This window comes from Homo sapiens, chromosome 7, assembly GCF_000001405.40.
Source record: "Homo sapiens chromosome 7, GRCh38.p14 Primary Assembly".
Taxonomy (NCBI): Eukaryota; Metazoa; Chordata; class Mammalia; order Primates; family Hominidae; genus Homo; species Homo sapiens.
The window spans coordinates 156,007,789-156,034,703 of NC_000007.14; the positions used below are offsets into that span (position 1 = coordinate 156,007,789).

The window sequence follows — 26,915 nt, forward strand, 5'->3', positions numbered from 1 at the left end:
TATATCCTGTATGGCATATATTCTGCATGCCAGTTCCTTACCAGATACATGATTTGCAAATATTTCCTCCCATTCTGTGGATTGTCTTTTTCATCTCCTTGATTGTGTCCTTTGAAACACAAAAGTTTAAAATTTTGATGAAGTCCCAACTATCTAATAGTTGTTGTCACGTTTTTGGTGTCATAGCTAAGAAAACATTGCCTAGTGTAAAGTTATGAGAATTTGATCCTATGTTTCCTTCCAAGAGTTTTATAATTTTAGCTTTTACAATTATGACTATAATCCACTCTGAGTTAATTTTTGTGTATGGTGTGAGGTAGAAGTCCAATTTCATTCTTTTGCATGTGGATATCCAGTTGTCCCAGCACCATTGGTTAAAAATACTATTTTCTCCCCATTGAATTTTCTTGGGACCCTTGTTGGAAATCAGGTAACTATAGAATGTGAGGGTTTATTTTTAAACTCTCAACTCAATCTTGATATCCTATACATCTGTCCTTACACCAGCACCACACTCTGTTGATTACTGTAGCTTTGTGGGAAATTTTAAGACAGGAAGTGTGAGTTCTCCAACTTTTTTTTTCAAGATTGATTACACTATTATGGGCACTTGCATTTCCATATGAATTTTAGAATCAGCTTGTCAATTTATGCAAAAAAGGCAGCTGCAATATTTATAGAAATTGTGCTGAATCTATAGGTTAACTTGAGGAGTGTTGCATTTAACAACACTAAGCTTTTCAACCCATGGACATGAGATGACTTGCCATTTATTAGATCTTCTTTAATTTCTTTCAAAATGTTTTGTAGTTTCCAAGGTACAAGTTTTCTATTTCCTTTGTTAAGCTTGTTCCTAAGTATTTTCTTCTTTTTCATACTATTGTAAATGCATTTGCTTTCTTAATTCCATTTTCAGATTGTTCTTTGCTAGCTTATAGAAATACAATGGCTTTTTGTATATTAATTTTGTATCTTGCAACTTTACTGAACTTGTTTATCAGTGTGAATACTTTTTGAGTGGATTCACTAGGATTTTCTACATACAAGATTATTATGTCATCTGTGAAAATAAATAGTTTTACTTGTTTTCAAATCTGGATGCCTTTTATTTCTTTTTCTTGCCTAGTTGCCCTGGCTGGAGCCTCCAGTACAATGTTGAATAGAAGTGGTGAGAATGGATGTCTTTGTCTTGTTCCTGATTTTAGAAAAAGCATTCAGTCCATCACCATTAAGTACGATGTTAGGGGTGGGTGTTCCATAGATGCTCTTTGTTGGGTTGAGGAATTTCCCTTTTATCCCTAGTTTGTTGACCATTTTATCATGAAAGCGTGTCAGATTTCATCATATGTGTTCCCTGTATCTAGTGATAAGTTCATGTTATTCTTTTTCTTATTAATATGTTGTATAACATTGATTAACTTTCATATTTTGGGCCAACTTTGCATTTCTCGGGTAAGTCCCACTTGGTCATGGAGTATAACCATTTTTATATGTTGCTGAATTCTCTCTGCTTCTATTTTGTTGCAGATTTTTGCATTTATATTCATAAGAGACATTGGTCTATACTTACCTTGTGATTTGTTTTTCCGGCTTTGAAATCAGGGTGATACCGGCCTCGGAGAGGAAGTTTTAGGATTAAGTTTTGAAATAACATTTTAAAAATAGTTTATGAATAATCCTTATTAATTCTTTCAGAAATATTTTGTAGAACTCAATGAAACCAGTGAAAACATCTGGGACTGGGATTTTCTTTGCTGGAAGTTTAAAAATTATTAATTAATTCTGTTACTCATTATAGGTTTATTCAGATTTTCTATTTCTTCTTGAGGCAATTTTGGTAGTTTGTGTCTTTCTAGACATTTGTCCATTTCACCTGAATTGTCTAGTTTCCTGCCATGTAGTTCTTCACAGTACTCTCCTAATAATACTTTTTTATTTCTGTAAAGTTGGTAGTGACGTCACATGTTCATTCCTGATTTTAGTAATATGAATCTTCTAGATAACAGTGTGTCAATTTTTTTTTTTCCAAAGAACTTTTGGTTGTCTTATTTTTTTCTATTTTCTATTTAACTTATTTCTTATCTACTCTTTACTGTTTTTTTCTGCTTGCTTTAGTTTTAGTTTGCTCTTCTAGTGTTTTAAGGTGGAAAGTTATAATATCAGTGTGAGGTCTCTCTTCTTTTTTAGTGTGGATTGTTATAGCTACAAATGACCCTCTAAGTACTGCTTTAGCTGCATCACGTACATTATAGTATGTTGTGTTTTTTTACTTGCATTTCTCTTGAAGTAGTTTTTAATTTCCCTTGGGATTTCTTTATTTACACATTTATTATTTAGGACTACATTGTTTAATTTCTACATATGTTAAAATTTACATTTATTTCTGTTATTCATTTATAATTTCATTCTGTCTATGTTGGAGAACTTACTTTGCATAACATACATCTTTAACACTTATTGGGTTTTTCTATGGCCTTAACGGATTGTCGATCTTGAAGAATTGCCCATATATGCTTAAAAATAATGTGCATTCTGGTGTTGCTGAGTGGAGTGTTCTGTAGATGCCTGTTAGGTCTGGTTGGTTTATAGTGTTATTAAAGTCTTCTATTTGTCTGTTGGTCTGACTAGTTGCATCCATTATTGATTATTGAAGGTAGACTAATAAAGTCTCCAACCACGGTTGCTGAATTATCTATTTCTAACTTGAATTCTGTCAGCTTTGGCTTTGTGTATCTCTGGGCTCCATTGATAGTGTATACAAGTTGACAGCCATTCTATATTACCGATGGAGCAAGGGCCCCTCTTTATGTCTGGTAGCATTTTTTCCTGTTTTAAAGTCTATCTGTTCTGATGTTATAATAAAGCCACTCCAGGTCTTTTATGGGTACTATTTTCATGGCATACTTTTCCCCTTCCTTTTGACTTTGAACCTATTTGTGTCTTTGAATCAAATGTGCATCTCTTATAGACAGAATAGTTAGATCTTATTTAAAACAAATCCATTTTGACAATCTCTATCTTTTGATTGGATTGTTAATCCATTCACTTTCAGTGTCTATATTAATATGGTTTGACTTATGTCTATCATTTTGTTTTGTTTGTTTTGTTTTTTTGAGATGGAGTTTTGCTCTTATTGCCCAGGCTGGAGTGCAATGGCACGATCTCGGCTCACCGCAACCTCCACCTCCTGGGTTCAAGTGATTCTCCTGCCCCGGCCTCCTGAGTAGCTGGGACTACAGGCATACACCACCATGCCTAGGTATTTTTTTAATTTTTTACTTATTTTTTTAGTAGAGATGGGGTTTCTCCATGTTGGTCAGGCTGGTCTCAAACTCCCGACTTCAGGTGATCCACCTGCCTTGGCTTCCCAAAGTGCTGGGATTACAGGTGTGAGCCACCGTACCCGGCCCTATCAATTTGTTTTTAGTTTTCCCTATGTCTGGTGTACCGGTTTGTTCTTCTGTTTCTCCTCTATAGATTTCCATTGCACTAAGTGAATATATTCTACAACATTTTAATTTTGTAATGATTTTTTCACCCTACATTTAAAAAATTGTTTTCTTAGTAATTGCCCTAGGATTTACAAGTTATATCTTACCTTAGAATCTACTTCAGGTTTCTAACAATTCAGTGTAATATTGAGATATTAGTTCTATCCCCCCTCCTCTTTTTGTGCTATTAGTACACATATTACACATATCACATTTATATATATATGTCCCAAATCCACTAATGCATTGTTATAATTATTCTACATATAGTTAGGCATCACCTAATGATGGGGATATATTCTGAGTAATGTGTCATTGGACAATTTTGTTGTGTGAACATCATGGCGTGTACTTATACAAACAGAGATGATCTAGCCTACCACACACCTAGGCTACATGGCATAGCCTTTTGCTCCTAGGATACAAACCTGTGCAGCAAGTTACTGTACTGAACATTACAGGCAATTGTAACTCAATGGTAAGTATGTGTGTATCTGAACATATCTAAATATAGGAAAGGTACAGTAAAAATATGGTATTAAAGATAAAAAATGGTGCACCTGTTCTGCTAGAACACTTAGCAGAAATAGAGCTTGCCAGACTGGAAGTTGCTCTGTGTGTGTCAGTGAGTGAATGGTGAGTGAACATGAGGGCCTGGGACATTACTGTGCACCACTTTACACTTTATGAACACAAGATACTCAGGCTACGCTAAATTATTAAAAAATTTCCTTCTTTCATAATAAATTAACTTTAGCCTACTGTAATGTTTTTACTTGATAAACTTAAAAAAAATTTTCACCTCCTTTGTAGTAACACTTAGCTTACAGCTGAACAAAAATATTTTCTTTCTTTATATCCTTATTCTATAAGCTTTTATCATTAAAATGTTTTTAAAACTTAAAACATTTTTTGTTAAAAACAAAGATGCAAACACTCACATTAGCCTTGGCCTACACAGGGCCAGGACACTCAGTATCACTGCCTTCCACCTTCGCATCTTGTTCCACCAGAAGATCTTCTGGGTAATCACACGCATGGAGCTGCCAGCGCCTGTGAGAACAATGCTTTCTTCTGGAAGACTTCCCGAAGGACCTGCCCTAAGCTGTTTTACAGTTTACTTTTTTTGTAAGTAGAAGGGGCACATTCTAAAGTAACAATAAAAGTATGGCATGATAAATATATAAGCTAGTAACATAGCTGTTTATTATCATTAATCATTCTGTACTATACATAACTGTATGTTCTATACTTTTATGACTGTCAGTACAGTAGGTTTGTTTACATCAGCATGGCCGTAAACACGAGTGATGCATTGCACTATGACATCACAATGGCTATGATGTCACTAGGCAATAGAAATTTTTGAGCTCCATTATAAGGTTATGGGATCACCGACATATGCATGGCCTGTTATTGATCAAAATGTCATTATGCATACATAACTTTAATTGAACATCTTTTAAAGAAGCTAAAAGAAGGGAGAGTAAGCATGCATATTTTTTGTTTATTATGTTAGTGTTGTTATATACCATTTCTTGTTCTAATTTATTCTTGTTCTAATTAATTATAATAGCTATAATAAATTATAATTATTAATATATAATAATTTAATTATTATGCTATAATTTATCCACCAGATGGATTCAAGTTACCATCTGGTGTTATTTGCTTATTCTAATACTGCTTATCATTACCCACCTCCTTTACATTATTGTTGTCAAATATATTACATAGCCATATATTATAGGCCCAACAATAGAATAATATTCATATTGTTTTACACAATTGCTTTTAAAATTAGGAGATGAAAGAAGAACTATGTAATTGTACTATCATTTACAGTTACTTACATTGTTACTTCTACCAGTGCTCTTTTTATTTTTAGTAAATTTGAATTAGGACCTGGTGTCACTTGTTTTTAGTTTGAAGAACTTTCTTCAGGATTTCTTGTAAGGTGTGTGTTCTAGCAACAAATCCATCATATTTTATTTATCCAGAAATGTCTACCTCACCACCATTTTTCAAAGATAGTTTTGCTAGATATAAAAGTTTCGATTGATAGAGCATTTTTTTTTTCTTTTCAACACCTTGAATATGTCATCTACTGCCTTCTGGCCTCCATTATGTCTCATGATAAATTATCTGTTACTTTCTTGGAGCTCCCTTTCATGTGATGAATCATTTTTCTCTCACGAATTTCAAGATTTTCTGTTTGTCTTTCAGCATTTTTACTATGATGTATGTGTCTGATCTCTTTGCATGTATCCCACTTAAAGATGGCTGCATGTCTTAGATGTGTAGGTTAATATATTTCATCAAATTTGGGAAGTTTTTAGTTACTATTTCTTCAAACATTTTTCTACTCCTTTCTCCCCCTCCTCTCTTCCTGGTGTTCTCAGTGTGCATATGTTGGTGTGCTTTTTTTGTCCCACATTTCTTTGAGGCTACGTTCATTCTCTTCCTTCGTTTTTATTTAGACTAAATAATCTGCATCAATCTATCTCCAAGTTTTCTGATTCTCCTGCCAACTAAAATCAACTATTGAATGCCTCCAGTGATTTTTTTTATCTCGGCAATTGTACTTTTCAAATCCAGAATTTTTATTTTATTTTTTTAATATAATATCCATTTCTTTATTGATATTCTTCATTTGATGAGACATAATTATAATATCTTCCTTTACTTCTTTAAGCATGGTTTCATTTAGCTCTTTGAACATACTTATAGTAGCTGCTTTGAAATCTTGGTTAAGTCAGACACATGAGTCTTTTCAAGAGTGATTTCTGTTGCCTGATTTTTTTTTTCTATATATGGGTCACAGTTTCCTATTTCTTTATATGTCTTATAATTTTTTTGTGGAAAACTGGACACTTAAGAGAATAGATTGTCGCAAGTCTGGATTCTGATTTCTCCCTCCTCAGGGCTTGTAGTTTGCTTGTGCTTGTTTAGTAATCTGGCTGGACCATTTCAGTCAAGACTGTTACCTTCACAGTGTGAAGCCTCTGATGTCACTGCCTTGGGCATGTGCACAGTCACCTTGGGCTGACAGGGGTTTCAGTGGGCCTCTCTTTGACTGTCTCTTTTTGCCTTATCTCTGTAAGTTGTCTTCCTCTGTTGGTATCACACTCAGCTGTTAGCTACTGCTAATGCTGGCTTACTGCTCTATTGTTTCTGACAATGCCCTGGGCATGAGTTTCTCCACAGTCAGTTTCAATTTCATTTATGCTTCTTTGCAGGGCTGTTCTTTGGGGCCTGTCTTTGAGTCTTGTTCCAGTCTCAGCATGGCTTCTTAACTGTTTTTCCCTGGTTCTATTTGGTAAACCACTAGCTGGTCTATAGTTTAGCTTGTACTCATGGAGCTACCGGCCTCTTGATTTCTTAATACCAAAATATCCATTGTTTTTGACAGCACCTTTAGGCTTGAACTTCCTCACACTGTTCCAAAGAAAGTCATTCTCTTGAGAAGAGCTACAGGGCTCTCTGTTCTGAAAGCCTGTCTCTATCCCCTGGGCAAGGCCTCTGCATCCTCTCTCTGGAGCTAGGGGAACAGCAGCCTACTTCTCTTGAGTAGCACCCCTGTTTTACAAGTAGGGCATTGGGTGGGGGTGTTGGCCTCGGGTCTTCTTGACTTGCCTCTTCTGATATGGAACCTCTGCCCTGAGTGTGCTGGGTGACAGCCCAGTGTTGCTGGTGTGCTGCACCTGAGCTAGCGTTTCCATCTTATGAATGGGGCCTGGGTGGAGGAGGGAGCCCCAGATCTTCAGCTGCTCCTGACTGCAGTAAAGCTTCTGCAACTCAGAGTTGAGGTGCTGGTGGCCTGCCCCTTCCAGGGAGAAAACAAAACCTAGCCTGGCTGCTAGAGAAAAAGGGAGCCCTATGTTCTTGGCTGCACCCACCAGGGGCAGAACTTGCATCAGGCATAAGTGGAGGCAGTGGGGAACGGGTCATAGTTCAGGAACCACAAACTCTCAGTGTTCTTACTGAGATTTGATAGATTGTCTTGAATAGATTCTTCTCCTTCTACTATTGAGGAGGAAAACATAACTGATTGGGACGAGAAGGCGCCAAGGGAGACCTCGGAGCTGAGCGTTTCATGTGGAGCTCACTGGTAATCTGATTGGGATGAGGTCCCAGCTGAGGCGCTGGACTGGGTGGTCTTTAAGGTCCTTTTGGATGGTACGGGCTGTGATTCTAAACACGGAATGGTAAATCCATCTGGGCTGGACACTTGAGTGGATGGCTTTACGCTAGCACAGGTTGGTCCTCTGCAGCCTTGGCAGGAAACATGGAGGGGACTCCTCTTTGGCTGCCTGCCCCTCTGGGTGCTGTGTTCCTGACAGGAGGGCTGAGCTGGTGTTTCAGAAGGCAGCCCTGTGTAGGGAGATAACACCTTCCCATTTGAAGCCACGGCCACTGTGCTGGGATCCATGGCCTTGCCTGAGACAGAGCCCCCCGGCAGCATGAATAGCGCCTCCCTTCATGCTGCCGGCTACACAAGTGTCCCTCTCAGCTGGGCCAACACACCCCGGGCGAGGCCGTCTTCGCCCTCCCTTACACCCTCCCTCCTCTAGTTCTTTGTCTCCTGTTGAGGGTGGACACTGCCCTGGGGTGGAGTGAGTGGTTTCTCTCTGGTGGGACTGGGAGAGGGTCCCTTGACGATTACCAAGATTCTATACTTTATTAATTTTTTTCTACCAATGCTGCCAGAAAGAATTTTCATTGTTGTTGTTCACATAGCGTGTTATTGCTAAGATGAATTCTTTGTGTAAAAAACAGACTTTCTGTCTTGGTTTTAGTAAAGTGAATGAAGAATTATATTTGAATTTACAAATGTATCTTTATTTATTTTGTCTTGAACTTCACGTCAATACAGATTCTGCATTGCTCAACTAATGAATGCAGGAAGGACTGCATGAGGCCAGCACGGCCACGTCCTCACACCAGCAGTTCTTCTTGGTCTGAGTCCTTTCCTGGCTGCAGCCAGAGAGAACAGAGAAAGCGCAACACTGTGTTCATGGTGCTATTGTAATTAATGTATTATAATTATTTTGTATCTTCTGTTAGATCTTCTGCCTTGATTCCCAGTGTCCAAATACAAAAGTATTGACTACTGTCCCTGATGTGACGAGCAGGATCTATTGAAGCCGAACACATCATCTTTCAGTTCCAGGTAGGAGTGCAGTAAGAAGAGTTTTCTTACAGGCATGATCGCTGTGATGGATAAGTGTGTCTTGGACTCTAATGAATGAACCAGCGACTTAGTCACCAGCCGCCTACACTAATAAGGTGAGGGTGTGATGCTGGTTTGGGCAGGGAAGGTCTTTGGTCTCTTTATAGATTTTAGAATGCTAAAATAAAATGACCTGTGGGATCCTGAAACCAAAAGAGGACATCAGTGGGAAAACACATGGAATCGGGGGTCTGTTCCTAGAGATGCTTCACGGAACTCTAGACCATGTTAATGTTTGTTTTGAACCACATGTCTTGGGTAACACTGGGGGATGTTGGATTGGGGGGATACGGGATCTCTCTGTACTGTCTTTGCAACTTTTTCCGTAAATCTAAGATGATCCACAAATAAAAGCTTTATTGAAAAATATAATGGCCCTAAAATTCTTTTAGAAAGTGAATGAAAACTCCCATAATGTCATCTTCTGTCAGTGAAATCTGCAACTGCAATGGAACTATCACACCAACCCAGGGGAAAAGAGGCAGTTGGGGTCTCCAGAGAGCCCCTCTGGCCTCAGTGGTCTCATCTGGAAAGTGGGAGGTTTGGACTCATCGAGCTGTCTCCAAGGATCTTCCTGTTTGGATGCCCTGTGTTTGAATGCACAAGGCATAGTTATAATCTGGGGGGCAAAAACCTCTAAAATATCAGCCTCTTCTGTGAAAATCCAGCTAGTTCCCTTTAATTGGTTACAAAAATAAGATGCTGAAAACCCCACCAGCCCTATCTGGAGCTGTGCTCAAGAGCAGAGAAGAGTGCAAATTAATCTTTTTGAATTGCTAATTGGGGATTTAGTTGGCTAGATTGAGGGTTATGAGATGAAAGCCTGGGTTTTTGCTCTTTTCCAAAGGTAGGGAAAAGATTCCCTCTCTGAGGACCCTAATGTCCTTGTATGCAAAATGCAGAAACTGACAAGAAAGATGAGAAAGCGTTTTGGCTCAGCCCTCAAAAGGTTGTATCTCAAGCCCATACTCCTGTCCTCTGAAGCAATCCAAATGCTTTGCTGCTATACCTTAGATCCACAAGCAATGCCTATAATGTGGGTGTTGTTTGGGCTGAAGCCACTGCCACTGGCCTAGACATCAGGGTAAGATGGAGCCCAATGCAGGGGTGTGTTGTCCCCCCAGCGCCGGCAGCTGCAGAGGACTCTCATGGGCAGGATGCACAGAGCCAGGTGGGAGCCGCGCCGTCAGGGCTGCCAGGTGTGCAGAGAGGCCCTCTCTTCCAAACAGCCTCTGCAGTCGCCTGCCAAAGGCCTGGGACAGTCCTTCTTTCTATTGCACTTCTGTCGATAAAGGGATTAGCTCCTATTAAATTATCCTTAGGAAACAGAAGTTATTAAGTTATCATTTGTCACATACATCCTGGCATGAATTTATTAGCTCCTTTCCATGTGTCACTTGGCTGGGAGATATTTTGGTTGAGCAGGAGGAGGACAGGGACAGAAGCTGAGGACACATCATTCCTACAAGAGGGGCCTGGAGAGGGTGGTGGCCGGTGCCGGGCATGAGCCTCCGCTCAGCTTCTAAAGTTGGAGACCTCGGTGACACTGCATCTCTGTGCTGCCACCAGCCTCGCTTGCTACGGTAGGGGGTCACGGCGGTGCAGACCTTGGAAATGCGAGGACAGAGAGTCCCATGCCGAATGGCGGGGACGTCGCCTAGCTGCCTGTGCTCCCAGGAACTGAAGGTGGGAAGAGCCATGGAGGAGTTCCAGACCTGGTGCCTATTTGGTCTGTGATCCTCACTAACTTTCTAAAGCATGTCACGTCTTTTATCTTGTGGAGTCTCAGAACATCCCGGGGTGCAAATCGGCCTCTTGCCGGCAGCAAAACTTACAATAGAATTCCCAGCTCCTGACCCCACCTGGCACTTTCCCAGGACTGCGTGTGTCATCAAGGACCAGTGGATGATTTTCAGCCCTGTTCCCTGGGGGATGTTTTGGGGCAGGCAGAGCAGTCCCGAAGAGCCCCGTAGCCTGAGGTCAGCCGGCCCCTCTCCCTGGAGGGTAGGACCAGCCTTGCCAGCGCTGGGTGCTCGTTTCTGCTTCTTGCCATCTGAAGAAATGAGACCCCCAAGGCCGCCTCCCAGCCCTGCCTTCTCTGTACTTTGCATTTTGTCTTAGTCATGTGTCGTTTTGGAGTCATGCCTCATTTCCCAAGGAGAAGTCAGGGCCCTAGAGGGTCAGGGTCCTCTTCTTGCTCTGAGCTCCCTGGGCTGGCCACTGGCCACAGGAGGTGCTCATGAAATTAAGTTCAGCCAAATGGGATGTGCTGATGAGCATGACGAGTCAGATAGAGCCAGACCCCTCAAAAACAATCTATACCAAAGGCAGGGGGAAGGTCCCCTCTCTGAGGAGCCTGATGTGCTTGTGTGCAAGACGCAGAAGCCCACCAGAAAGATGAGAAAACGTTTTGTTTCACCCTCAAAATGTTGTATCTGAAGCCTATATTCCTGCCCTATTTGGTAGAACAGACCCAAGTAATGCCCTGGAGATGACTTTTTAAAAAAACAGACACAGAAATCGCTCTGTGTTTCAGAAATAGATAAGCCATTTGGAACCAGGTCTTGGTCAGTGTTATATAAAAGATGTTTAAGTAAATGAAGGAAGGAATGACTTGGGGTGCATTATAAAAATGAGTATAATTATTTTACACCAATATGTGTTTGTGTGACCATGAGTGTGACTGTGTGTGTTCATTTTTGTTACCTAATGCTGCATAATAAATCATCACAAAAATTAATGGCTTACAACAGCCATCATCACCTTTCATCTCACAGTGTCTCTGTGGGTCAGGCATTTCAGAAGGACCTGACCGGACCGTTGTCATGTGAAGCCTTTCATACAGTTCCAGTCAGATATCAGCTGAGGCTACATCATCCAAAGGCCCAATAGGGGCTGGAGAATCCATTTCCAAAGGGGCGCAACCTGTGTCTGGCAAGTTGTCACTGGCTGCTTCCGTCCTCTCTGCATGGCCTTCTCCTTGGGGCTGCTTGAGCATCCTCCTGGCATGGTGGCTGCTCCCTCCAAAGCAAGCCACCCACATGATCTGGGCGGAACTCTCGAGTCTTCTGTGACTCAGCTTTGGAAGTCCCATTGTATCACATTCTACCAGTCACATGGGCCCAGTCCTAATTCAAAGTGGGAGAGGATTACGCAGTGCTTAAATCCTGGGAGGCATGGGTTGTTGGGGCCACCTTGAAGGCTGGCTACCTTCCTCCATGTATTTACTTACTGAGCCTTTGCTATATGTCAAGTACTAAGTTTCTGTAGTGGGGACATAAATGTACATATGTCATGATCCTGTCCTCAAGGAGCTGTTTGCTTAGGAGAAAGAGAGATGAGCCAGGGCTGCCTGACACCAGTGTGTTGGGGCTGTGGCTGGGGTGTGCACAGGTACCTGGCACAGACCCCACTGAGGGGCCCGGGTCTCACTAGGACCTTGAGGGACTGATGTGGTTATTTGGGCAGAGCTGAAAGGGAAGCTTGCTTCTGCCGGGGGATTGTCTGGGTAACAGGCACAGAGGCAGGTAGGAAGGTGACTGCTTACGGCACTGCAAGGATGTCTCACGGCAGAGCCAAGAAGCACATGTGGGTGGCAGGAGAGGTGGGGAATGGTTGGCTGTGGACTTTAACTGGGTCTGGGTTTTGGAAAGGTCACTTGCTGATGGCAGAAGGATGGATTACAGACAGATGAAAGGAGATGGGTGAGGTCTGTAGGGAGAACCCAGGGTGGGCTGATGGGGCTTCAAGCAAAGCCGAGAGCCTGGCTCAGCACTGAGGAGGGAGTGGAGCTTGAGAGATGAAAATGGAGAGGAACCCCCATAGTCAAGAATGATTGACATGCTTGGAGCAGGGGTAGGGGGCAGGCGTGACGTGACGCCAGGGCTGGGGCTTGTGGGACTGTCTGGGGGAGGCCCTTCCTCAAGAGGGGGATGTAGACCACGATGGCTGATGGCGAAGGTGTGATTCAACATTCACGCACACTTCCTTGTCTGTAACATGAGTCGTACTTTCTATTTCCAAGAAACCACTTCGTTTCCACTTTTAGGTAATTGCTTTTTCTCCATGTCTAAGAAGTGAGCAATTTAAATAAAGATATTTACACTTTAAGGTTTTCTTAGTACTTCCAAACAGAGACATATGTATAAATGCTAAACAGAAGTTTTGAATCAAACCTTCTTGCCTTTCTAACGTTCTCTGTTGAGGGAAAGTCGGCATGGTTTAGAGCCTCCCAAACCCCCTCCACCAGGAGGGGCAGATCTGGGGGCGAGACTGAAAGCAAACATGTTTCACAGGATGTGGGGAAGGTGGCCAGACTTAGAAAATAAAAATATAGGACGCTAAGTTAAATTCGAATTTCAGATGAACAATGAATACTTTTTTGAATAAGTATTCTCCATGCAATATTTGGGAAATACTAAAAATGTATGTCTTCTTGATCTAAAATTTGGATTTAATTGGGCATCCTGTATTTTATCTGACAACCTTAGACATAGGCGATTTATTTCAATGACTTCTGGACAGTCTCTGGAGCAAATGATCACTCAGGACCTTCTAAAAAACCTAAGTGGCCAGGCACAGTGGCTCACGCCTGTAATCCCAGCACTTTGGGAGGCCGAGGCAGGTGGATCACCTGAGGTCAGGAGTTTGAGACCAGCCTGGCCAACATGGTGAAAGCCCATCTCTACTAAAGATACAAAAAATTTGCCAAGCATGGTGGCAGACACCTGTAATCCCAGCTACTCAGGAGGCTGAGGTGGGAGAATCGCTTGAACCCGGGAGGCAGAGGTTTTAGCGAGCCGAGATTGTGCCATTGCACTCCAGCCAGGTGACAGAGTGAGACTCCATCTCAATAAATAAATAAATAAATAAATAAATAATAAAAATAAAAACACCTAAGTGATAAGTTGGCAGGTGCAGCAAGCCACTATGGTACACGTTTACCCCTGTAACAAATGTGCACATCCTGCGCATGTACCCCAGAACTTAAAATAAAAATTAAGATTAAAATATGTGGCCTGCCTAGTGCTAGGTACAGAGCAAGTTCTTGAATAACTATGGGAAGCTGTGAGAAAAGTGATTCATCCTGTCCAGGCGGGCTCAGCTTCTCCCATTACCTGAACTTGGCCATTCCCTTCACGACCAGCAAAACACTCTGCTGCCACACGCCCTGCCCGGCCGCCCTCCCATGGGGCCTTCCCTGGGGCAGCTTCAGTGCCTGTGAATTATTATTTTTGCTCTCTCAGGCACAACCTGCATACACGGATGAGATTGGTTCTTTGCCCTGAAGGTGAATGAACTCGGCTTTGTTGGCCGCTCCTATTTTTGCAGTAATGCACCAAGTATGTTCACCCACTAGGGATTTTCATCACGTAACATAGTATGTAGCCTAACAAAGTAGGGAAAGAAAGGAACAGAGTAAGGCTTAGACTGAAGTACTTCAATTCAAGTCCCAAGTCAGCCACCTGCTAGAGGACTGGAAGATAATCCAAAGACCACAGTATTTTGTCAGGAATGAGAGGTGGAGATAAGAAGGTAAATAGAATTTCCTATCTCACAAATATCAAATCTTCTGGAATCTTTAATTGAATCACAGGATAAAACCCTTATAATGAAATTACCATGGTTCATTTCACAGCGTTTCTGGCAAGGCAGGGGTTCTCTGGTGGGAACACCCACATCCAGTCCCAAGGTTTTCTCAACTTGGGCTCAAGGTGCCCTAAGGAGATGAGAACCTGGGGCCACATGGAGATGAGAACCTGGGGCCACATGGAGAACTGCAGTGAAACTGGTTTCTTTTTTTTCCTTTCTTTTTTTTTTTTTGAGACGGAGTCTGGATCTGTCGCCCAGGCTGGAGTGCAGTGGCACGATCTCAGCTCACTGCAAGCTCCATCTCCCAGATTCACACCATTCTCCTGCCTCAGCCTCCCGAGTAGCTGAGACTACAGGTGCCTGCCACCATGCCTGGCTCATTTTTTGCATTTTTAGTAGAGAAGGGGTTTCACCGTGTTAGCCAGATGGTCTCAATCTCCTGACCTCGTGATCTGCCTGCCTCAGCCTCCCAAAGTGCTGGGATTACAGGCGCGAGCCACCGTGCCCGGCCGAGACTGGCTTCTTGAACTTTGCTTTGAGGCCTATGAAGCTGACATAGCCCATCCTCCGACCTCATGGTCACTAAATATGCCCTGCGGATGGCGTAAGCCGGACCCTGGACGCTGCCTGAGGTTACCTCCCATCCCTGAACACTTCATGGGACTTTGGCTGTTGTGAAAACAGCAGATTTACCCTTCTCTTCCTGCCATTCTGTGAGAGTGGAAGGCCCCCTTCTGAGGGATGGCTGGTGGAGATCGGGCCTCATGTCTCGCCTGTTGGAGCAAGCTGCCTCAAGAAGTGGAAAGTGACCGTCTGTCCCGAGTGACTACGACCAAGTTCCCTTGTGGAAGTGCAGTCTCTCCTGTTCCATGGCTTCAGTCCTCACTACTCAAAGTGTGGCCCATGGACCTGTAGCATCCGCCTCACCCAGGAGCTTCCTAGAAGTGCAGCATCTCAGGCCCCACCTCAGCCCCGCTAAATCAGACTGTGCATGTCAACAGGACTGTCCACACAGTCAAGGTGGGGAGCACTGGCCCTGGTAACGGGTGCTTTTTGGAGGGAGGATAAGTAGGGGAAGTTTCCATTCCACCGTCTTGGCTGTGGACTCACAGAACACCATGTCTGCATGGTGCATACCTGAGAACTTTGCCGACAGGGATCTGCACAGCACTGTGGGAAGCATCCCTCATCAGCCATGGCCCTCGTCCCTCGGACCTCCCATCCTAGACGTGGTTCAAGACTAGCATATGGTGGTCTGGAGGAAGGTGGAATGGCCAAAGGTCGAAGAGCTCTACAGTGGAGACCTAAGGCCTGAACCCAGGTTTTCTGAATCCCATTCCAGTTTTTTTGCCACTCTACTTAGAGAAAAGGAAATAACAAGAATGCAAAGTATCCTGCTGGAGCCATCAAAAGGCCTTGGGTCATACGCTGAACAAAGAACAGAGCCCTCATGGTGTGTTTGGTGGGCCACTCCAAGAAAATAAATATAACACATTAGCTTAAAGTTCCTGCTTAAGCCACTGTTGGTCAAGTAAACCTCCTCACTTGAGTGTGAAATAGCCGAGTCATAGGAGACACATTCATCTATACAACAGTCTTATTCTTGAAAAATGCGGGAAAAGTAATCTTACTTTGAAGGCATTACAAGAGTCAACTGTTCTTCCATAAAGCAGTGAAGCAGTTGTAAAGAGGATTGATTGCTCCTGATTCTCTGTGCGAGGATGACTTTGTAAATTTGGGTTTCCTTCAACTGTAGTGCCACTGAATCAGGAATACGGCAGGATTGCAAAGGGGAGAAGAAAGAGGGGGCTTGGAGGAGAAAATAAATACCGCTGGAGCACCCTTGACTTTTCAAAGTCCTGTGTGAATTCCACACCTTGTCTGCCCCCATTTTGGCAGATAATGGAATGGAGGTGCCCAAGGGGCTTGGGTGCAGGTGGCAAAAAATGAGCAAAACTGTGGCATTCTGGGCTGAGCCCAGGGCTCTGCCATTAGACTTATCTTGACTGGGAACTTCTAGGAAGATTCAAAATTCTGCTTTTGAAGTGGTCAGACAAGCACTAGCCTTTGGAAAGCGGTTGGTGCTCACCCACAAGCTGCTCTCTTCTTGCTCAGATGTTTGAGCCCTGCAGAAGCACCAGAGGGCTGCCATGTTGATCCGGCCAGGGGCTGCCGACAGCTTCCCTGGTCTCCACCCACCCCCTTTTTAAGGTTCTTCTCAAATTCTTCCTCACACCCCAGCTGCCCGCCCTTGTCAGCTGGGGAGATTGCTGCTTCTTGCCTCCTTTGTGAGATTTAAAAAGCTTCCTATTCTTCCTTTGAAATGGAGGAATAAGGCCTATCTTCGGGGTTTCTTTGCAAGATGAGTAAGCGGCCCCTTTCAAAGCCCTTGGGAAAGACTTCAATAGAGGATTTAAGGCAGGACAGAGTAGTTCATGTGATTCCAGGCTTAAGATGTTGTCTTCAGCGTTAGACCTCAAGAAATCCAGCCGATATTTCCATTGTGTCTGAGAAATTAAAAGCTTTAGCTTTTGCCTATGAAAAATATTTGCTTAATTGAACAAAGTTGCCAATCGGACAGTGCTTTCTGAGAACTGACATGCTAAATCTTCCCTGAGGACTTTATTCTGTTAACAAGAAAGATAATTGTCTTGAATGTGGCGTCCCGCACTGTATTCCCGATCAATAGGGCACCATCTTAGCTTCCTTCGAGATGTGGTGAAATGGAGACGAAGGCACGTTCCCTGGCTGGTCATCTCTTATGCTTCCTGTGGGGACTGAAGCTCCAGCACAGAGGCCCTTGTGCAGCACCTAGTCATCAACCCTCAGGCACATCCCAGGCCTCTGGAACTGTGTTTATCAGTGAATAAATCCACAAGTGGATATTGAATGTCTATTGCATGTGCAGTGTCGGAGACTTTGAGGACTGTTGATATTGCATTAGGTAGCAACATCAAGGAGTTTCTCCCCTATGTGTGGTGGGGGAGGCAAACACATATTAATCAGTAAGTTCCACAGGGAACCTGCCACCAAGTCAAGTTGTGTGTTACCGACTACCAAGTCAGCATTTGGATAAGTTCTGTATGTGACATGCATCACCTAAACCAGGGATGAGAAAACGCATTGTGTGTGTGTGTGTGTGTGTGTGTGGGTGGGTGGGTGTGGGTGTGTGTGTGTGTGGATGGGTGTGGGTGTGTGTGTGAAGGGCCAGATAGTAAATATTTAAGGCTCTGTTGGCCAGACGGTCTCTGTTCCTCAACCCCGCTGTTGTAGTGGGAAAGCGGCCACACATGATATGTAAATGAATGTGTGTGGCTGTTTGCCAATAAAACTTTGTTTACAAAGACAGATGGCTGGGCGAGGTGGCTCATGCCTGTGATCCCAGCACTTTGGGAGGCCGAGGCAAGTGGGTGGATCACAAGGTCAGGAGTTCGAGACCAGCCTGGCCAACATGGTGAAACTCCATATCCACTAAAAATACAAAAATTAGCTGGGCATAGTGGTGGGCACCTGTAATCCCAGCTACTCAGGAGGCTGAGGCAGAAGAATCACTTGAAACCAGAAGACGGAGGTTGCAGTGAGCCGAGATCATGCCACTGTACTCTAGCCTGGGTGACAGAGCGAGACTCCATCTCAAAAACAAAACAAAACAAACAAAACAAAAACCAGGCAGCCGACTGGATTTGGCCCAGGCCAGGTTGCTACCAGTTGAGTTTGAATTTCAGATACAAAGAGAGTACGTTGTTAGAGTGCCCCAAGCATGGCATTGGGCACACTTGCCCTGGATGTCTTTTATTTGATCTGGCAACTTCAGAGTGTGCCAATGCTTGGTTTGAATCAATGGCTATTTCGACTGAGTCCATTAAAACGTTTGGCCTTGAATCATATCATTCAAACTTGGGGAAGATCAGAGAGATTTTCTAGCCTAGGTTCCTATTTTTCAGATGGGAGAACTGGATTCCAGGGAAGGGACGGGATCTGTCCAACATCCCACTGCTAGTCCACCTTCATGAAAGAAAACTTCCAGAAGCAGGTCTTTCTGTCAACTCTGTGTGCCAGCTCCTTAGTCCTTTGATATTCTCAAGGAGAAAACATAGTCATTTATTGGTAATGGGCCAAATGTTCAACCTTCTGTCACTCAGTGGCACAGTTCCTAGAGAAGTACAGAGGGTGGGAATTGGGCCAGTGCTGTGCACCTCCGATAGGCACACGGAGATGGTACAGTCTAGTTTGTAGATACACAAACATGCCTGTAATTTAAACATCTGTATCAAACTGGAATCGGCCTTGCCCTCTCAGGCACCATCCCGGCGCGGGACACTGACTGGGGCTGCGGTGAATGTTTCTGCTGGGTTCTGAATGAACTGTGACACAGAACAAGGGCCCAGGGAGTGAGATACGTGTGGAGTCTGATGTACAGTCTTGGGTTCTAATCCTGGCTCCAGCACTTCCCAACTGTCTAAACGTTCTTACAATTTCTACTTTATCTTTTATGGAACTGGGTAGATGATGTGTTTCTCATAGAGAGTGTCTGGGAATTTCCTAGTACACCACCTGCAGCATAGCATTTAACACGCATTTTCCCCCTCCCGGTCGCCTTCTGGTGCCCCAGGGCACACAACACTTCGTCTCCCCAGGCACGCGGCGTGCCACTGTGGTTCTGTTCATAGGGGCACAGTGAAGAGGTTTCTCTTTTTCGAGGCGGCCCTGGCTGACCTGTGGCTGGGATTCCGTGTAACACACATGAGCTAGGTGTTGCACACTCAGCTGAGAATTGGAAAGCAGACCTCAGTGAGAAGCAGCAGAGACAGGCTGGACTTAGGAAGCATTGACTGTGTGCCTGCCGCTGTGCGTACTTCCTACCTTCCTTAAGAGGCAGTTTGCTTTATCAACCTCACTTGATCATGCAGACACTCAGAAAAATGAAGTAATTAGGTCAAAGTCGTGATAGCTAATACTTATTTTTTATTATTTTTATCATTTATTATTTTATTATTTTTAAAAATAAATCTCAATATTTCCTTTTCTCTTAAATATGTATATCAGGACCTTTCTGGATTTTTAGTTAAGACTTTAAATTTTATCTAAGTGGCAGAAATGTATTTCCCATTTGGTGATGGCAGCGCGGTTAGCATTTTAGAGTCCTTGCTTGTAGCTGTGCTTTTCCACGATTGTTCAGGAACAATTTCCAGGGCTTTGTCTGTTCAGGAGATAGTAACACTGGGGAATGTAAAATATTTGGACCTTCTTGTTTGATTTTCTACTTTTTGCCAAGTCTTCTCTTTCCCTTACATTCTTCAAAGGATAAAGGGCACATTAACAAGCTCTTCACTGATAGTGACAATTAGGGTGTAATTTGTGAACTAAAATTTGCCAATTGCCTTCATTACTTAGGAATTGACAGTCTGCTTTTCATTCTTCTTTAAAACGGTGCTTTACTTAAAGCCCGCCCGCCTGCCGGATGGAGGGATTTTCTGAATGACACATTCGTCTTTTGAACAGGGAGCTGTGACGTGGTGGATGTTCTCTGAGAAGGAAAATGAGCCCCTCAGCGATCCATACATTTCGATAATTTATTTCCAGTAGTAAATTACAGGCACATGTGAGATATTTGAATAACTTTTAGCACAGAGAATAACCAGCCAAACCAAAATGAGAAACTAGGTGATCATGTGTCCTGGTAATAACTGACTCATGAACTCGCAAATTCACCAAATATATACGTATTCGTTTATTGATAACTGGGGACACATGACATCGAGTGGCGAGCAGGTTGACTGGAATTGCCCACATGGCCACCTGCTTCTCGAACTTTGTCCTCCCCACCTTGCAGGGTGCACCAAGCCTCTCTCTGAGTTGGTTTTAGGAGAAATTGGTTTTGCTCTCAATGATTTTCTACAAGTGGGTGGACAGGCCACCTGTAGCTTACTTGTTCCTTATGTCACTTCATACTGTGGCTTTCAGCATGATTGGCTGCACTTTATCACAGCATTTATTTTATTGCATATTTAATTGGCTGAAAGTTTCGTGTTAATTGGGTGGAATCTTACCTTTCAGAGTGTTTTGGTTCTAAAGCAGTCTCAGACTTAAGCACAGTTAATTCCCCTTTGAGATCCTTTATCACTGACAACACGAGATCAAATAACCAACTAATTAAAATTGATGTCCACCTTCTATTGAAGTCATTATTCACTTTCCCTTAAGGAAGTGGTTTTCTGAATTTGCAATCCCTGGGGAATATTTTTTCCTCCTCAAATCATGTGAGTGTGAAAATGTGGAGTCTACGATTCTTGTTTCCTTTCTATGTCAAAAACAAATCCTCGCTGTGGACGAGTCTGTGTCTGTGGTCTTACCCTGCACAAATACACAGGCTTGTGTGTTCCTGCTAAATGCTTCTCTGCCCATCAGTTTTAGAGGCCATGTGTTCATGGGCGTGGAGGCCTCAGGAAAATGGCCAATATTCTTTTGTAGTGCTGAATGCTTAACACTTTAAACAAAGACACCTGTGGGGTTGGTGTGTGTGCAAGTGTGTATATGTCCGTTTATATATGCGTGGGTTTCTGCTGGAACGGACAGCCTGCCGTGTTTTGCGTGTGTATACGACATCGCTGTATATGCGTGCATATCTGCTGTCAAAGATGCCTGCCATGGGATGCTAACGGCCAGTGCCTGGGAGTCTCAGCTGCTTCCTGCTGGTGGAGGTAAGGGACAGGGGCCAGACCCCGTGATTGGGGCAGCAGGGGAGCTGGCCACAGAGGGCTCCTGCAGTCACCAGGGCACCAACCCTTGATGGGCCAGTATGGAGGGATGTGTGGGGTGTAGGGGACGGGTTTGCGGGGGGGTGGTCTCAGAGTAGGAGGAGCCACTCAGAGCCTTGTGATTCTCTGGGGCTTTCCTGGCCTGCTGTGGGTCAGCACGGCTCTGGGACCCACGGGACCAGGCAAAGGCATATCTGGATGGGCCATTGCAGTGGCTCTTCCACTGGACACAGACCTGATGTCTTCTGCCATGCGGGCTCTGGGGAATTCTTCCAGGACCTGCTTGCATCACCTCCTCACTAGCCTCCTCTGCTCCTGGCCTCTGCTCACGTGGGACGGAGGACAGCCCCCAGTGTTGGTGAGAAGAGCAGGGCGGAGACCTACAGACCTGCCCCTTGGGGCCAGCTGCTGTGTGGCCTGGTGGGGCCAGCTCAGGGGCCCTCTTGGGGGCTAGCTGGCAGGGATGATTATGCCATGCAGAGGACCACTGAGAAGGCATCTGAGGCCAGGTTCAAGCCCCATGGGAAAGAACGCGGTGATATCTTAGCAGTGTCTGCCAGGCTGCAGGAGGGGCTGCGGGCGCTTCTGGCACTACTCTGCTGGCCTTGATTAGGTGATCCCCAAAGTCCTTTCTGAGGTTTTTCACAGTCCGAGATCAGCCTGCTAAGTCTCCACATGTCTTTCTCAGCTGGTGTGACACGCGCTGAGCCCCTGCTCTGTGCTGCTGTCTGTCTGTCTGTCTTTCTCGGCTGGTGTGGCATGCGCTGAGCCCCTGCTCTGTGCTGCTGTCTGTCTGTCTGTCTGTCTTTCTTGGCTGGTGTAGCACACGCTGAGCTCCTGCTTTGTGCTGCTGTCTGTCTTGGCTGGTGTGGCACAAGCTGAGCGTCTGCTCTGTGCTTCTGTTAGTCTGTCTCAGCTGCTGTGGCACACACTGAGCCCCTGCTCTGTGCTGCTGTCTGTCTGTCTTTCTCGGCTGGTGTGGCACGCTGCACTGTGCCTCTTGCTCTGCACTGCTGTCTGTCTGTCTTCTCGCTGTTGTTCAAGCCCTATCGGGTCATTTGGCATTTTCTGCCTCAGGGTTATTACACCAAGAAAAAAATATTTAAAGAAGTGTGTGGGCCACCGTTTCTGGGTTTTGAGTTTCAAGAGCGTTGTCCTGGAGGGATCTGGATGTGAGTGAAGACAGAGAAAAGCCAAAAAAAGAAAAGTCAGAGCTTGGTTTCTTGAGCTGAGGGAGGGAAGAGGTCACAGGGAGGGGCTGGTGTCTTGTGGCTCCAGAGGAAGGAACCAGCCCCTCTGCCTCCCTGTCCTGGGCCTCTTTCCTGGATAGAGTTCCAGGGCAGGGGTTGGGTGGGTGGGTGGCAGGACGCTAGAGAAAACATGCCAGTCTAAGCTGCTGAGAACCTAGGGCCAGTGAGAATCCCTGGTGGACACGAGGGGCTGGAAATGACAGAGATGTCACCGACAATTTAGCAGTGACCTTCACAGACTCAGAGCCAAGGTCGGATGAGAGACGGATCTTGCAGGAGATGCTGCATGGAGAGATGGTTCTGAGGACCCAGAGCCCTGCCCTCGAATCTCGTCAATACACCAGGGGGCAAAGGAGGGCATCTTCATGATTGGAAGCAGAGTTTTATCTGCCTTGAGAGAAGGGGAGCTTGAAATAGAAAACTACGTGGCATTCTAAAAAACAAATAAAATTTGCTTCTTAGGCACTGAGGGCCTGAACTGAGAGCTCTGTACCCTTGACTCATGTCATGTTTAAAGATTTTCCTAGCATTTTATTAATAGCATCCGCCAGAAAAGGTAGAAATAAACAAGGAGTCAGGGAGCATAGGGAGTCCACACATGATTCACTTTAAATGTTCTCATTCAGCACAGTTCCTCTTCAGCTCCCACAGGGATCGGCGCTGGTCTGGTGGGACGCTGGGGGCCGGTACGTGGAGCACATGCTTTCTGCTGCAGAGACCTCTGGAAGAGGCCCCGGTGAGCACAGGTGAAGACAGGCCTGTCCCTGTGCACACAGTGTGGCTGGACCAGCTGCTCTTGTCCTGACCTCTGCATGCTCATCTGTAAAACACAGGCATTTGCCTAGGGGCGATCTAATGACTCCTAGATTCAGCCCCCAGAGAGCCTGCCTAGAAATAGCCACGATTCAACGTGATGCAAACACGGAAGCTCCCCAGGGGGGTAAGACGGCAATTCTCCCAGCCTTCCAGCTTCCACTGGGCCAGGGCCCTTTCATCTTCTGACCTGCTCTCAGGCATGCCACATCTGAAAACTCTGCCACCTTTGCGCGAGACCCCTGCATTAGCCCAGGGAGACAGAACCAATAGGATGTCTGTATAAAGAGATTCATCCAGAGGGATTGGCTCATGTGGTTATGGAGTCTGCCTTCTGCCCACTGGAGACTCAGGAAGCCTGGCGGTGTGGTTCAGTCCAAGTCTGAAGGCCCTTGAACCAGGAGAGCTGATGGTCTCAGTCTCAGCCCAAGTGGGGGAGAAGGTTGGTGTCCCGGCTCACGCAGCCACGCCGAGAGGTTAAATCTCCATTTTGTTCTATTCTGCACTGAACCTCGAGGGACTGCATGAAGCCCACCCACATGAAGAAGGGCCACCTACTTTCCTGAGTCCACTGAGACCACCAATCTCCGCGGGAAACACGCTCACAGACACACCCAGAAATAATGTTTAACTCAGTGTCTGGGAACCCCTCAGCCAGCAAAGGTGACACAAAATTTAACCATCACAGCTCCCTCTGGATAAGATGAGGGAACAAGATTTCATAACATTGGGCCCACGGACACTCAATGGACGGAAACAAGGCTGACCTGTCCTCAGAAGGACATACCCCACAGTGTGGTTCTTGGTCCCATAGCCATGGTCAACACTGTCCCTCCAGTTTAGCTGAGTCCTCGCCGTCACTTCAGTCCTGCTGCCAGGGCCCTGTCCTCCACACAGCCTTGGCCACGGTCACCTTCTCTCCTTTGAGCCACTTGGACTCACATCTGAGGCACATTGTCAGCACAGACCCCTCAGCTCCCACCACACACACTTCCTGATTTCGCACTGAGATGTCCGGCACCTCAAACCCAACATATCAAAACCTGAGACCCTTCCAGTCCTCCCTGCCTCTGCCGGTGAACACTCCAGGGTTCCAGGCCGAAACCATGGCCTACTCCTTGATTCTCCCTTTTCCCTTACACTTCACATCTGGTCTGTCAGCAAATCTTGCTGTATCTGCCTTGACAATGGAGCCACATTCAACAACTGCTCCCCCTCCCACTGCCACCAGCCTGGCCAGATCCCAGGGTCTCTCACCCACATTCAGAGGGAAGCTCCCATTGGGGCTTCCTGCTGCTTTGTGCCCTCTGGCAGTCTGCCATCAGCAGAGGGATCATCCACAAAGTCACATCATGCCTCCCACCCTCCAATGGCTTCACACCCCACTCAGAACAAAAGCCCAAGTTCATAATAGGATCTACAAGGCCCTCCAGGGTTTCCTTCCCTGCAATATCTCTGTCCTTGTCCCTCAACACTCACCCTCTCATCCTCTCTATTCCAGCCACATTGAGCCCCTTGCTTTCCCTGGAACATGTCAGGGGCTCTCTTCCCCAAGGTTCCAGCACTGACGGCCTTCTCTGCCTAGAGCATTCTTCCTCCAACAGCAGCGTGGATGACTCCCTCACTTTCTCTGATCTTTACTGAAAAGCAGGAATGAGGCCCAGACAGCAAACACTTGAGAGATAAAGAATACTAACCTTGCACAAACTATTTTAAAAATAGAGAAGGAGGGCACACCCCCCAGTTTATTTTATGAGATGAATATTACACTGATTAGAACCCCTCTTCCCCAAAAGAACAGGCAAAGACTTTACAAAGAACGAAATCTGAAGGCTAATATTTCTCATGAATGTAGAAACAAAATCCCTTAGCAAAACACGAGCAAATGATACCAGCAATATAAAAAGGAAAATAAACATGATTCTATAGGCTTTATACCAAGAATGCAATGTTGGTTTAATATGTGAAAACCAATAAATGTAACTCTTGTATTATCAAAATCAAAAGGAAATCATATAATTATCTTAACAGATGCAGAAAAAAATGTGAAAAACTTCAAGGCCCATTATTGAGAAAAACTTTCAGCAAAACTAGAGATCTAAGAGAACTTCCTTAATCTGATAAAGATAATCTATGGAGAATCTACAGATAACATAATGAATGGTGAAAAACTGAATTTATTTTCCCTAAGGTAAGAAATAAGGTAAGACTGTCACTTCTCACTATTTTCCCCTCAGTGTTGTACTAGAATTCACAGCCACTGCAGTAAGACAAGAAAAAGAAATACAAAGCACAGATTGGGAAGGAAGATGAAAATCTGCCTCTATTCCTAGATGACAGGTTAGTGTACATAGAAAATACTTGTAACCTATAAAAAACCAATAGGTGAGTGTTCCAAAGCCACAGGACACCAGTTGATATATAAAAACCATTTCTTTTACAATATATAAGCAATGGACAATGGGAAACTGAATTAAGAGCATAATGTCTAATACAATAAAAAATGTGAAATGTTTAGGGATAAATTTAACAAAATACATGCAAGATTTGTATACAAAAAATATATAATATTGCCAAAAGTAATTAAACATGACCAATAGTGGTTGAGAGATTGGTTGTATTCACAGATTTGAAGACTTGATATAATGAAGAGTTCTAGTCCTCCCAAACTGATCTTACATTCAGTGCAATCTCAATGAAAACTCAACCGTGCTTATTTTTTTTTGGCAGAAGTTTACAAACAAATTCTGCAATTTACATGGAAATGCAAAGGACTTAAAATAGTTAAAGCAATTTTGAAAAACAGGAAAGTAATTGAAAAACTCACATTACCAGATTTTGAGACAATGTAAAACTGAAGTCATGAAAACAGTGTGGGATTAGTGTACAATAGAAATATAGGCCAATAGAACAGAATCGAGGCACAAAGCAGACCCACACATATATAATCAATTGATTTTTGGCAAAGTTGCCGAAACAATAAATGAGAAAAGATGATCTTTTCAATAAATGGTGTGGGAGCAACTGGACAACCGTATGGAAATGACAACAACAAAAAAACCTCAACTCTTACCTTACACTACACCCAAAGGTAATTCTAGATGGAGTAAGGATCTACAAGTAGAAGTAAAGCCATCGGCCGGGCTCAGTGGCTCACGCCTGTAATCCCAGCACTTTGGGAGGCCAAGGTGGGTGGATCACAAGGTCAAGAGATTAAGACCATCCTGGCCAACATGGTGAAACCCCGTCTCTATTAAAAGTACAGAAATTAGCTGGGCGTAGTGGTGCACGCCTGTAATCCCAGCTACTTGGGAGGCTGAGGCAGGAGTGTCGCTTGAACCCGGGAGGCAGAGGTTGCAGTGAGCTGGGATTGTGCCGCTGCACTCCAGCCTGGCGACAGAGCGAGACTCCATCTCAAAAAAAAAAGGAAGTAAAGCCATCAAGCTTTGTATTAGTCCATTCTCACCCGGCTATAAAGAACTACCAGAGACCAGGTAATTTATGAAGAAAGAGGTTTAATTGACTTACAGTTCTGCAGGCTGTACAGAAGCCTCAGGAAACTTACAATCCTGGCAAAGGGTGAAGGGGAAGCAAGCCCATCTTCTCACTGTCAGCAGGAGAGAGCGAGAGCAAAAGGGGAAGTGCTACACAGTTTCAAACGACCAGATCTTGTGAGAACTCACTCACAATCATGAGACCGGAAAGGGGAAATCCACTCCCATGATCCAATCACCTCCCACTAGTTCCCTCCCCCAACATTGGGGATTACAATTCAACA

General features: G+C 44.5%; 2 long non-coding RNA genes across 2 annotated transcripts, besides 2 other annotated features; one reads left to right on the top strand and one right to left on the bottom strand.

Annotated features, from left to right (window-relative positions):
* The first annotated feature begins 4,892 nt into the window (after positions 1 to 4,892).
* LOC105375597 (uncharacterized) lies at positions 4,893 to 25,610 on the top strand. The gene is made up of 3 exons (XR_928242.3): positions 4,893 to 4,977; positions 8,559 to 8,664; positions 25,169 to 25,610. It is a non-coding gene; the product is annotated as an uncharacterized LOC105375597 (long non-coding RNA).
* Positions 14,729 to 14,907: a silencer, noted in NCBI's record as "fragment chr7:155815211-155815389 (GRCh37/hg19 assembly coordinates)". NCBI's record gives its function as "represses an EF-1alpha promoter that drives an FKBP-Casp9 reporter gene in an ReSE screen in HepG2 liver carcinoma cells {active_cell/tissue: HepG2}" and the evidence as "EXISTENCE:reporter gene assay evidence [ECO:0000049][PMID:32094911]".
* On the bottom strand, positions 22,830 to 26,776 carry LOC124901789 (uncharacterized). Its single transcript, XR_007060614.1, has 2 exons — positions 26,666 to 26,776; positions 22,830 to 23,144 (listed from the first exon to the last, which is right to left on the bottom strand). It is a non-coding gene; the product is annotated as an uncharacterized LOC124901789 (long non-coding RNA).
* Positions 26,593 to 26,793: a silencer, noted in NCBI's record as "peak6866 fragment used in MPRA reporter construct". NCBI's record gives its function as "represses an SCP1 promoter by STARR-seq MPRAs in K562 erythroleukemia cells {active_cell/tissue: K562}" and the evidence as "EXISTENCE:reporter gene assay evidence [ECO:0000049][PMID:32103011]".